The following is a 13,033-nucleotide window of genomic DNA, read 5'->3' as shown; positions in this document are numbered from 1 at the left end:
TAGTGTGCAGGGACTCCAGCTGTAAGCCGGGAACCTGCCCTGTAGCAGTCTGGGAATGCCATCAAGCCCCTGCCCAGCCTCTGCTGCAGAGGTGGCAGGGTCTGCTTTGACTGCAGGCTCTACTTGGAGGAGCAGACCACAGGAGGGCCTTTACAGGCTGTTCTCACTCAAGGGGCCCCCAGGGGTTACATAGCTACTTGATGGTGTTCAGAAGAGGAAGAGACGGAGTCTCACACAGATATGCTTCTTTCTCCAAGAGATGGGTGAGGGGCTAAATGCCACATGGGGAGAAACTTTATCCAGCCAAATGATGCTATTAATTCTCTTTGCAAGAAAGAGCTGCACAAATGCCATAATAACAAGTTAAGACAGTAGCTAGGGCCCACTAGGATGTGTGTATGGCCTTCCCATCCCCAGCCCCCAAGGAAATCACCAATTTCAAGCATGAAAGACAGAAAGAAGTGAGCTGAGCTGAGTCATCTCTCTGCCTTCCTCTCCTTCCTGGTATTGCCCTTTGATCATCTTCTCTGCAGGTAGCCTTCTCTCTCCTGGAGGCCCTCTGCTAGTTAACAGCAGAGCAGAGCGGGGAAGCAATACCCGCTCCTCCTCCCCTCCTCTCCCAGGGGAGCATGGGCAGGACTGATTTAGAGGGAAGAGGGGCTAAGGCTGCCTGAGCTCAGCATGACTCTCTTCTGTTATCCTTGTCTCTTATCTGCACCTCCTAGGACAAGCCAACAGATAGGACAAACACATGCCTATCAGTAAGGTTTCATCAAAATGAAATTTGCAATTGATTGGTTGAAGCATTAGCTCCCAGGCTGAATTGGCCCAATGGGCATTTCTTGTTCTCTAGGATTTAATAGTCTTTCCTTTTAGCACAGCTCCACTTCTTTATAAGACTTGATGAAAAGGAAAAAGAAAACACAGCTGTTTTATTTTCCCTAAATGAAAATCAGGCCTCAGGTAACTACTTTGTTTCGTAATTTCCAGAAGACAGGAGTGGGCTCCATAGGAAGAATAATTAACCATATCTCACCTAAAAAAATCATTATCCTAAGCAGAAACAATACAGATGTTGTATGGATCTGCCTCAAGGCCAGCGACCAAGAGATGAAATGAAATTAACTCTGACAGGAAGCCAATGGTTCATTTTGGTAAAAATGCCAAATGTGTCCTCTAAAAATTCCAAATATCAATGCAGGAGGTGCTATCAACAAAAGCAAGGTGTTTTGGGAAATATATAAATAAATTAAATTTGTCCCATTCCTGCACTGCGTTCCCCACCAGATTCCTGTTACCAAGTATAGTCCAGAGAGGAAGATTTAAAAGAATCTTCACTCAATATCATATCAAAGGAAATAAAATCTGGCTGAGCCAAGAAGCTACTAGAAGGTGTACTTGGACATGAGTCAGAATAAAGAACGATTCCAAAAATACATACAAGAAAAGGTCCCTGCAGAGGAAAATCATACACTTCCGACTTACACTCAGATCTATTGAGTGAAATCAGACAAAATACCCAGTGTTAAGATTAAGGACAAAAACATTTGCTGCAATTGAAATCTATGACTAAACTATTAAAAAACAAAATCTGTAGGATAAATGTGAGTTTCTGCTGAAATGCAGAGACCATGATCTTATATTTCCAACCCAGCATCTAAGGCAGAGGCCTGAGGGGGAATTGCTTCTTTCAGAGCTGCAAATCGAGTCTTCTTGGACCACACAGAGGCTTCTCTTCTTTCACAGAAAAGTGGTTTTCCCAAGATGCTATTGCCTTAGCAGTCAGCATAGTGTGGGTGGTAGAAAGAGAAGCAGGAGACCTTGCTGTAGCCCTGTTTTTGCCACTAATCTTTAATAAGTGTCCTAATCTGCTTATACTGTGCTCTTCTCTGTAAAACGACAGTTGAAACAGATGAGAGACTTTAAGGAACTAATTGAAACAAGTGCCAGTAGGAGATCACAGATAATGGATTCCATTATATGCATCTGTTCACTACAGAGTACGCAAGAAAAATAGACAAAAAGGATCAAACTTCTCAGAAAGGTGGAGATGCAGAGTAATGTTGTCCTTAGAAACTGACAGACAGGAGTAAAATGGATAGAACGCAGCTCTGGAGTATGAAGACCTGAGTGTGAATCTGCTGTCTGAGCTGGGCTTAGTTAGTTTGCCTTTGCAAGACTCAGTTTTCTCATCTGCAAAATGGAGATAAGACTAACTACTTCACAAGATTTCAATAAGGGTTTGAATGCAATGAAATCATGTACATGGCAATGTTTGGCACACAGACTGCTGTCAGGAAAAGTTGCCTCCTTCCTCCTTGACCAGTGTTAAAACTCTCCCTGACCCTGAGAGGCTTCAGAAAGGAAATCTGCTCCTTCCTGTTTATATAACCATAATGGGAACAGTACCACTGAATTTCTATGACGCACCTGGCCCACGCTGCCAGGCCGTGTTTCCCAGACTTCCTGCCTCTCCCCTAAAGAGGAGCTTAAGCAGGTTGAGTTCCCTGGGAAGCATGGATGACAGACAGCAGGATTCCCAAACAGCTGAGTGAGCACATCTATAAGAGGAAGAAGAAATATTTTATAGATTTGCTGAGAAGGAACTCCTCTTCCGTACCAAATCCCCACATACTTGATATGGCTGGTGGCCGAACAGCCCAATCAACTTGTAATGCAACAGTCAGAAATGCGACAGTGGCCAAACACTGTCTCCCTTTTGTTTCATATGTCAGGGACTGCATGTGATTTCTTTTGGAAAATGTGCTCCAGACCTTTAAAATGAGTTTGAAAACCCAGTGGCCCAGATCACTGGGAATATTTTTAGGAGTGTCAGAAGCAGGAGTGGAAGAGGGACTTCCCTTCAGAAACTCCTTATCACCCCCAAACATCCTGGGTTCACAGCTAGCTTCCTGGAAGCTCTCCTACCCAATTGCAGCCCGAGATGCTCTGAGGATAATAGAAGGGCAGATGTTGTGTGGATCTGCCTCAAGGCCTATGACTCAACAGGATGACAGAGACTCCCTGGAAGATAATGCAATTCTCTGTGGACTGCAGGAAGCCAACAACAAAACCCCAAGGTTTGGACACTCCAGGGCTTTCTCTGGTACTCCACTAGAAATGCAAACCCCACCAGCCCATATTGAGCCTCAGAGATAGAATAGCTGGCACTAGCCAGTGGTGGGGAGAGGTGAGGTAGGGAAATGGAGTGTCGAGGAAAGATGCTTTGAAGCAGGTGGGTCAAGGCCTTGGCTATGCATGAGCTGAGATGGCTGTAGGGGAGAGCCCTGCTGTGAGCTTGGATGAGAATGCACATGTTACAACAGCACTGTTTATTTTCTGGCCCTGCTCAGGGCTAGTTTTCATTTTAACTGTGACAAGCAAATAACCAGCAATACAAGTTTGTAAATGGACCACCAGAGCCTTAAGCTGTGAAGGCAGAGTAGGGAGTGTTGGAGAGGGAATTGGAGGGACAGAAGCCTATGGTGGCTAGGATTGGACTGATCTCAGTTTAAATTCCAGCTCTGCCATTTGTGAGCTGAATGATGTCGTACAAGTTTCTCAGCCTCTTCAGGCCAATTTTTTCATTCATGAACTCAGAATAAAGCTGTTGTGAGAATTAATTGAGATAGTCTATATCTATACAAAAAAGGCTTAGTGTAACATCTGGCAATATTATATATCTAATAAATGGTTAAAATATTTTTCTATAATTCGTCCATTTCTGACTTAGCTCTGGCACATTACACTTCCTCTCCGAGTGCCAGTATCCTCATCCTACTTCAACACCTCACGAGGTTCTCATTTTGGCACCTGACTCTGTCCTCTGAGGACCTGCACCTTTCTTGGATCTCATCCCAGGCCTCTGAGAACCACCTTAGTATCAGCTGCCCACAAGGATTTACAGATTTCAGCCACACTGATTCCTTGTGTCTGTGCTTCACCCACTGACAGTGGGTGACTGTGCTTCACCCACTTCACCACAACACTGCCCTGCTTTGTCTTGGATGCCTTCATATTTGCAGGATATAGACTGATTATCTGAACTGGAACCAGATATTATGGTATCTGTTGCCTACCAGAACTAAGCTTTTCCCTCAGCCCCAGAAGCTCGTCACTTACCCAAAAGCAGTACCTTCTCTTTAGGCAAACCTAGACACAGGTCTGGCTTCCCTTCCTATGTTCCAGCCTTGCCCCAAAGATTGCAGATAGATGACATGGTAAACTCACAGAAGGATAAGACAGAGCTTGGAGATGGTCACAGTATGGAGTTTTTAGCCACCCCTTTGTTACAGTGATCCCTAAGGCTTCTTTCAGTTCTAAAATTCTCTGGTGGATGATTCTATTGCCTAGGTTACAAAAGCACCAAGCATCAGTGGGAAAACCACACTTTCTTTCTCTCCTCTGCCTTTAGGCTTTGGTAACAAGCCTAGGGTCATTGAATCAAATGCTATAGGTGTGCTGAAAGCAAGGTGAAGTGATGTGGTGGTGCCAGAAGCAGTTGTATAATCAGATAGGTTCCCACAGCCAAAAAAGGTTTTCAATGAAGGCAGAGATATTCAGAGGATGTGGTCCCAACTGTCATTCATTCATTCATTCATTCATCCAGCCACACAGCCAGCCAGCCATCAAATATACACCATGAATTTGCCATGCAACAGTGAAAGGGGTACAAAGATGAATAAAACAAGGCATCTGTCTCAAGAAGCACACAGGCTGTTCAGGATTCAGGCAAGCACAATACAGTGTGATGATACGTGCTGTGACATGGGAATCTGCAGAGGCTATGGCAGCACTGAGGAGGGAGGAGAGACTCTCCTTCAGACCAGGATGGGGGTTGGTAGGAGGTGGTGGCAGGAAGAGATCCCAGAACAGATGACTTAAGCAGAAGCTTCAAAGATGAGTAGGAACTGGCCAAGTGGAAGAGAGATGATAATAGCAGCCTTTGCAAAGGTTCACAGGCATGTGAGGGCAGGATGTATTCAGGGATCCAGGAAGAGGCTGATACAGTGAGAAGGAGGGGGTTGCTATTAGTGATGGGCAGCAGGAGATGAATCTAGAGGGGCAGGCAGAGGTCAGATCTGGAAGGGCTGTGTGTTGAACTAGGGAGGTTTAGTTTTTTTCCATGGGGTGTGAAGAGATGCTGGCTTAAGAACTTCTAAAAAGAGGCTGGAATGACAGTATGACAGTGCACAGGAACAAATGACAGTTGGTTTTTGGGTGGAATGCATCCAAATTTCCTCTCTCAAAGCTTCCTGTCTTCCCTTTGGCGACTATCTCATTGTGTGAAGCAGTCTTGGTTGGAAGACATACCCTGGTGTAGTGCAGAAGGTCTGCAAATGTTTGTTGCCATATAAGTTACCCTGTTTTAGAGGTGGGCACATCAGAGAGTATAGTCTGTTGTTCTCTATGTCTATCTTGCTCTCGTTCTTGTATTACTAGTGCTTGGCATAAAATAGATACTCAATAATATTTGTTGAATAAATGAATAAACAACAAACAAATGGGAGACATATCCTTGTGAAAACATCTGTGAGTGCATTAACCTCAACAACCTTTCATCGTCCATCTATAGAATGGCTCCTACCATCAAAGTAGGTCTCTATCAGATTTGAGGGATGGAGGAGGGAGCGGACTCTTAGACCTGACAGAGGACCACAGCTCTGTGTCAGGGTATGGTTCTTATATTTGTATGCTCTGCTCCAGGAAAGTAACAATATCTCCATCATTTAATGCTGAGTCACATTAATTGGATAATCATAAAGAAGGGAAAGAGCTGGCCTACTCTGTTTATATTGGTTGCTTTATCCTCAACTTGAATGTTTACAGGCTGCTGAGAGGAGAAATGAGCAAAACAGGAACAGAGTGCCTAACACATGTTAGGTGCTCAAAGATGTCTGACCAGCTTCCCACCTGGCCAGGGCAAGAGCTCATTACATGACAGCTGATGGTCCTCATCATAACACTGCAAAGTGGGCATTCTTACTCTCATGTTAGAGCCCAGGGAATGACAGATTTTCTCAAGGCCATAAAACTTGTAAATAGTGAATTCGGTATCTGAACCCAGGTCTGTCTGACTTCAAAGTCCATTCCCTCTCCTCTCCACTCAGCTGCTTTTGAAAAGACAAACAGCGTGGGCACGTACTGAGTACAGTGGATTGACATAATGAGGTGCAGAAGCTGAAGAGTACCATGCTATCAGGGACATCAAAAACGGCCTTACCCGCTCTGGTGCTGGCAAAATGATGAATTCCAGCATGGGATAACCAGGCTCCTTCCTCCAAAGTCCATTTTTCACTGAGGTCCATGCTTCTAGCCCCTTGTATGTATAGCTTTCAGATCAAATGGAAGCAATCTCCTGAAATAAATAATGAATATAAAAAAGGGATTTGAATTACCACTGATGTTCTCTTTGTGAAGAGAAGCTTTCTTGAAGGAAAGTGGTCAGTTTCTAGCTCATTTCATTCCTTTGGCACACAAAGCTCGTTGTCTAGATTTGGGTATGGCCTGAGTGTGAAGTTGCTCAAGCCCACAAACCAGGTTTTCCTCACCATTCAGTTAACAAATATTTGTGGAATGACTATTGTATGCCAGGCTTTGAGCAAGAAATTTACTATTTAGTTGTGCATAGTTTATAGACTCCTAGAATTTCAGGGCAGGATATAGTGGGATCTCAATTTTATTTAAAAGATACACACTCTTCTATTTGCCTAAAAAATGACTAAAAAAACTTGAACTAATAAGTTAGAAGCAGTTTTCATTGTATTAGAATTATGACTACTTTTTATCTTCCTTGTAATTTTCTGCATTTTCAACAATGAACATGTATTGCTTTTGTAATCTCAAAAAGGTATGCAATAAATATTATTTTAAAAGAACACTTCAGAGCCAAGAGGGACCATGGAGACCAATTTTCCTTTTCCTTTTGAAAACTATAATAGAAAGGCACAGTTACAAGGGCTCTTGGCTTTCGTAAAAAGATCATTCCCACTCCATTGGCCACCACTGAGAAGGCCAGCCTGAAGAATCTCTCTATATGCAAACTGTACCTGGGCTGATTACAACTCATGGCCAAACTCTTGCCCATATTACAAAGAGATCTTGATAACGCTCTGCATGTAGCAGGTTCTCAAATGAAAGTGATTGAGTAATTGAACATGACTGATTCATCACATCTGTGAATGCAGCAAGTGGGACATCCACACAGTAGAAGTCCTGTCAGCCTAATTAGGATAGGCACCAATCATCATTTGCTGTAGTCAGCCCAGCTGGCTTAATTTGGTCTCTAGAATGCTGTTCAGAGTTGCCCTGCGGGTTCCTGCATTGCCTGCCAGACTGCAGACATGGTAGATTGACTTGTTGCTTTTTGGCTATCTGCCTGGAAAAATATGATACTTATGGGAGATGCACCAAACAAATAACAATATCTAATAAAATACTAGGAAGTACCAAAGAATGTAGTGCACTTTATTGGGTACTGCTTCTCTAGCAATTTGTGTTGAATCCAATTACCCAAAAATTTTGGAAGGGAGTTCTAGACCAGAGTGAATATGGCACAGTGTAATAGTGAGAACGTTAGACTTATCAATAAATCCAGATTTTAGCCCTGACTCTGCACTAACTGGATGACTTTGGGCAAACCAGTTACTTTCTCTGGGCTTAATTTCCTCTTGCAAAGACCTCTTCAGGCCTCCCAGACTTGCAGCCTATAATAATATGCTTTTGTATACAAAGGCTACCTATCCACCCATGTCAGTGGATTGAGGAAGCTGCATTATTTATCCGTTAGCCAACTGAGACATCAGCACACAAGAGGTGGCTGATTGAGGCTAGAAGTAGTCTGCCATTGAACCAGACACGTTCTCTGTGCAAAACTAAAAACATGTCTGGAGTAGAAATCCAATATTGGGCCATAATCACACTGGTATCATCATTTAATCAACTGAAGTAAATATCCAACATTTTATATCTTTGCTGATTATTAAATAGTATTAACAATAATACTACATCCTTAAAAAGCAACACTTATTTACAACAGGTAATTCAAAATCACTTCATTAATCTTTGCAGTATCTTTGGGAAGTGAAGTAGAGACTCCAAGAGCTTTGTTTGACAAAAATAGGCTTTAGTGATTAACCAAAGAGTGGTTTTCAAAGAAGATTCCCATCTCTCTTGGCCCAGTGGCCTAGGTACCCTCTGGCTTCCAGGAAACAGATTTGCAAGATGATATGGATGTGTGAGGTTAGGCTCTCACATCCATGATTTTATTTTATTAATCTGAACTACATAGGCCCATGGTGAGTGTTTTATTAACTTCAACCTGCAACCCCTGCTGGTTTCTCTGATGCTTGAATTTCACTTCAGCTTGGGAAAACCAAGCACTAAATGTAAAATGAAATGGCATCAAACACATGTATTTTGAGGAAGGTTTTGATCCATCACACCTGTTACTGAAATTCCAACACCTCCCTTTAGCCACAGGAAGCCCCAGAGTTGCTCAGGAGATTCTGGAGCCTAGAAAAGAGTTTTCAGGCCTCAGGCCATATAAAATAACTTACTAAAGAATTTCTATTGGGTATTTAACCTCCATCCAAGTCTAAACCCTGCCATAGACAAAGTCCATGAAGAAGAAACTAAAATGTAATGCAACCTTGAGAATTTAATGAAAAACATAATGCAACCATGGAAACAGGAAGTGAAGAAATACTTTCTAATGACAGCACAAATACTAATATGCCTGATAAGTTGGGGTGGGTGAATGGGAAAGACCATCAAAAACTTACAGATGTAATTCTGGCTTTGAGAATCACTTTTTTAGAACTAAGCTACCTGCATAGATGGACATTGGGGTCTATGGAATACTGGAATACTATGAATACATAATTGGCACTTCATAAATATTGGTTGATTGAATGGATGAATAAATGCCCAGTGTGGGTGAAGACTCTACCTAGGTATTAGATCTCATAAAGCTCTCAAAGGAGATTTGTGTACACCGATAGAGTGGTGTGAGACAGACCAGCAGAATGGACCTTTGGATTTAAGAAGGTTTAACTCTCCTGTTAAAACCCGTAGACCAGAACTCTCCTGAAACTGACACAGCCTCTTCTTTTATGGGTCCATCTACCCAGCTGCCCAAGCCAGAAACTTGGCCATCCTTGACTTATTACATCTCACATCCAACTGATCACTATGCTTTGTTCATTCTTTCAAATGTCTCAATAATCCATCTGCTTCTGTTTTCATTGCCTCAGCCTTTGTTGAACTGCCATCATCTCTCACTAAGCACTATGACAACTTCAGTGAGTCCCTGGTCTTCATTTCCTCCAACCCATTCTCCACAATTTAGGTGTAGTAGTATTTTTAAAGCACGCATCTGATCATGTCACTTCTGGATTAAAATACTCCAGTAACTCATTGTTCCCAGGAGAAAGTCTGGACTATTTAACATGGTATATAATGCTCAATTATTACAAGGCATTTGCAGTCCCTGAATAAGCTCCCTTCTTCAGTCTTTTGTATATTCAGCCATTCCTAGAGCTCTAGCAAGACTGTTCTTCCTGCCCACCCTCTTCATCTTGCTAACTACAACTTATCTTCCACATCTCATCTTAGACTTGGTTCTGTGTTCCTCAGAGGCTCCCACAGGCTCCCTGTGCTTACCTCATTATAGCATTTATCACACTGCATTGCAATTTTCTGTTAATATATCTATAGTTTAGTTCATAGTTATGCACTTGAGAGTAAAGATCCTATCTTATTTTTATTTGACCCTAACATTTGCACAGTGTCATCATAAGGGAGGCACTTAATATAGATTTGCTGAATGAATGAATATGTGAATGAATAGTGTTGTTTGGCACAAGTGTATTTCAGCTTAACATGTCTTTTTGAAAAGTATTCTGTTTGCAACCTCACCCATTGCCTCAGCTTCTCTGGAAATTTCTCCATCTCAAAACCACACCCAAGCTGCCTATGCTTCCTGGCCCTGTTCTGGCCTCCTCATCCAGTCTAACTTGCCTACATTCCCCCACGTCTTCTCACACTTCAGCTTACATACCTGCCCTTGTACCCAGCATGCCACTGGAGTCCCTGCCACTCATACTCCTGCCTCCTTCCCCAAGCTTGGGATGAATCCGTATGCTTGATTATCCACAGGATACTCCTGCCACCTAATGCAGCCAAGTCACACTGGAACTTCTAACCACCACTTCTAGGGCCATTTCTGGCACTGAAGACTTGATCTAAAAATACAAATTCAGAAAAACCCTGGTCGTACATTGACTATGCCTTAATTGCCTCTATATGGCCCCATCTGTAGAGAGGGAATTCATTAACTAGAAGTACCATGTCTGGGGAATCAGGTAGCATATTCCATCATTCAGATATTCAAGCAACCCCTAGTTCTAACGCATATGAACACCATCACAGCAAACAAGTGTACTTGCTGGTAACTTACACTGTAAATCAGGATATACATAAATGTATATATACTGACATACAAAAATGAATTCATTCATTCATTTGATAAATACTAACTTGGTGTCTCCTAGGTACTAGTCACTGCACTAAACACATGGAATAGAAAAACAACAAATATTGTATCTTTCTTCAAGTAGCTTTCAAACTTGAGGAGGAGACATGTATATGAACGTATCATTACAGAACAACATACCAAGTACAAGCATAGATGCATGCACAGGGTAAACCAGGGATCTGCAAATAATGAAATCTGGAAGTTGGAATGGATCTCAGGGCCTTTAGTCCAACTCTTGCCTTATGCATGACTTTCCAGTATATGCTTATTCAGCCAATACTTAAATACTACCAGTGATAAGGAGCTCACTCCCTCGCCAGATAGCCCATTACATTTTTTAACGCTTCTGTGAAACAATTCACTTTCAGAGTCTCAACAAAATATTAATATTCACCAGCAATCCTCAGTGCTGCTGAGCTGTTCCCGGAACTCCTGCCCCTTGTTCTGTGCTTCAAAGGCTGCTTGAAGGAGAGATGCTCTCCAGCCTTGCAGATGTAGACCTCCTTCTTCAGTGAGTCAGGAATCAGAAGGAATAGTCCATCTTGGTTACAAGTAGAGGGTGTAAATCTTTCTGGTCACACCCAGAAGACAAACCAAACAACCCACTGAAGCACAAGAGGGAAGAGGTCACACAATGGGATCTTCCTTCTCCACCAGAAATACTTAAGATCTCCGTCATCTAGGATCTAGGTCTAGTTTATGTCAGCTATCCAAAAATCCTAATCATCAGTGGCCTGTGGACCACAGTAGAACAGAGGGAAGTCTCCTCCTGGGCTGCTCCAAGGGTTTGGTTCTGACGAGTTTCCGTTTCTAAGCTTGAAAAGTTATTTTCCTTCTAGCTCCAAATAGTTCCAAACATATCAGAATCTATCTTCACTCTTAATATTCAAGTGATAAAATTTCAGTGGCACCTACAATAATCTTACACTTGTTTGGAATAGAAAAACATTCTAGGTATTCACTGTGAGAAAAAAAAATACCTTTTTACATGAATAAAAGTACATGAAATGCTAGAGGGATAGACTCCTCCTCTGTCTAAAATGGCTGATGTTTAGAGAGTTGAGATACTTATTCTAGGCTTCTTGTTTGTATCCAAGAATTCTTACTGGCTTTGTAGAATTGAAGAGTTTGAGTCACTTGGAAACCATTATTTCAGATTGGTTTATCCAACTGGGCAGAGTATTTGTGAAGCTGCTGGGGAATTTATTGATGTTAATATTTTAAATATTCCAATAAATAATTTGTGCTATCTTCTCTCTAAGGAGTTGTGGCAACAAGCATATTTTTAGGAAGCTAATGAAGTTTTAAAATTATGTGGTCCTTTGCAGAACTCTCAGCGACTCAGGCTTTTCATCTCTGAAGTTGGTTCATTGAGACCACACTCAGAAATCTCCTCTACCATGAAACCCTACCAGGCAGACCTATTTCTTTCTTCCTTTGTGCTTCTCACAGCTTTTTATATTCCATTAGGACAATGATTTTTCCATTGCAGGATAATACTCTTCCATTAGAAGTTGTCTCCTCAGGATAAAATCACATCTTGTTCACCCTTCCGTTCCCACTGTTAGCACGGTGCATGGCCATACTCAGGCTCAGGTAATTCTTGTTGGATGAAGGAGACTGACATACCTACAGCTGAGAAACTCAAGTGAGTCTATACTTGCAAACTCCTCACATAAAGCAGGGTTAAATCGGAAATCATAACAAAAGATTTGTCATTAACTTCTGCCAGTAGGCAGCACAATGCCCAAGGACACTGAGGAGCAAAGAAAAAAGAAAACAAATATTCCAAAAGAACTGGGTTCTCATCTGGTTTGTGGCTTTTTAATGTAATGACTCAGGACAAATCACCTTATCTCCCCAGAGCTTAGTTTTTTATGGGTATGAAATAGAACTCATAAAGTTTATTCTTCCATCTTTGAATTTTGTGAAAATCAGATGCCAACTGGAGAATCATCAAAGCAGTGCACAAATACATAGTACTGTTACCATTTCAGCAAATTTGCTTATAGAGCTCACTTGCTATGCAGCACTGAATTCCAACTTGCTTGCTTAACTTGGGAAGTGATACAGAATGTGGGAGGCAGTATATATATCGTGGATGAGAGCAAGGACTTTGGAGACAAATCTGGATTTAAATTTTAGATCTACCATTTATTAGCAGTGATCTGTGAGCAAGGTATATAACATCACTCATCCTAATTTTTTCTATCTGTAATAGGGTATCATAGCACATGCTTTGTAGGGCTATGGTAGGGATTAAGTGAGAAATGTCTGTAATTTACCTAGTACAGATCCTGGCCAGAAATAAAAACTAAGTAAATGACAATAGTAGTTGTTTCTATTATTATCACTATTAGCATGTGAAGTAGATACACTTCTGGAAGTGATGTTGTCCCATCTGCAGACTGCATTCCATGGAGAAACAGAATAAAATGTGAGGAGTCATTTATCTCAAAGGATAAGCTGCTGGCTAGAAGACACTTCTCTGAAAAA

The 13,033-nt window shown here is 41.8% G+C and overlaps 1 protein-coding gene and 1 long non-coding RNA gene across 6 annotated transcripts in view, besides 1 other annotated feature; one reads left to right on the top strand and one right to left on the bottom strand.

Annotated features, from left to right (window-relative positions):
* Nucleotides 1-13,033, top strand: part of PIWIL4-AS1 (PIWIL4 antisense RNA 1) — a 195,024-nt gene that overhangs the window by 5,077 nt on the left and 176,914 nt on the right. The window lies entirely within an intron of this gene.
* AMOTL1 (angiomotin like 1) overlaps nt 1-13,033 on the bottom strand; it is a 170,289-nt gene that overhangs the window by 141,470 nt on the left and 15,786 nt on the right. For all 3 annotated transcript variants that reach the window (XM_005273798.5, XM_011542626.3, XM_006718772.4), the window contains exon 2: nt 6,224-6,358. In XM_005273798.5, coding sequence (XP_005273855.1) covers nt 6,224-6,308 — 85 coding nt within the window. In that variant the 5' untranslated portion in view covers nt 6,309-6,358. The remainder of the gene's footprint in view (nt 1-6,223; nt 6,359-13,033) is intronic.
* Nucleotides 253-925: an enhancer, noted in NCBI's record as "OCT4-NANOG-H3K27ac hESC enhancer chr11:94467520-94468192 (GRCh37/hg19 assembly coordinates)". NCBI's record gives its function as "activates a minimal SCP1, AML or CMV promoter by ChIP-STARR-seq in primed H9 embryonic stem cells {active_cell/tissue: H9 hESC(primed)}" and the evidence as "EXISTENCE:reporter gene assay evidence [ECO:0000049][PMID:30033119]".

The sequence above is a fragment of the Homo sapiens genome, chromosome 11 (assembly GCF_000001405.40).
Source record: "Homo sapiens chromosome 11, GRCh38.p14 Primary Assembly".
Classification (NCBI taxonomy): domain Eukaryota; kingdom Metazoa; phylum Chordata; class Mammalia; order Primates; family Hominidae; genus Homo; species Homo sapiens.
Note: the sequence above shows the minus strand (reverse complement) of the source record. Positions and strands in the feature narration are given on the sequence as shown.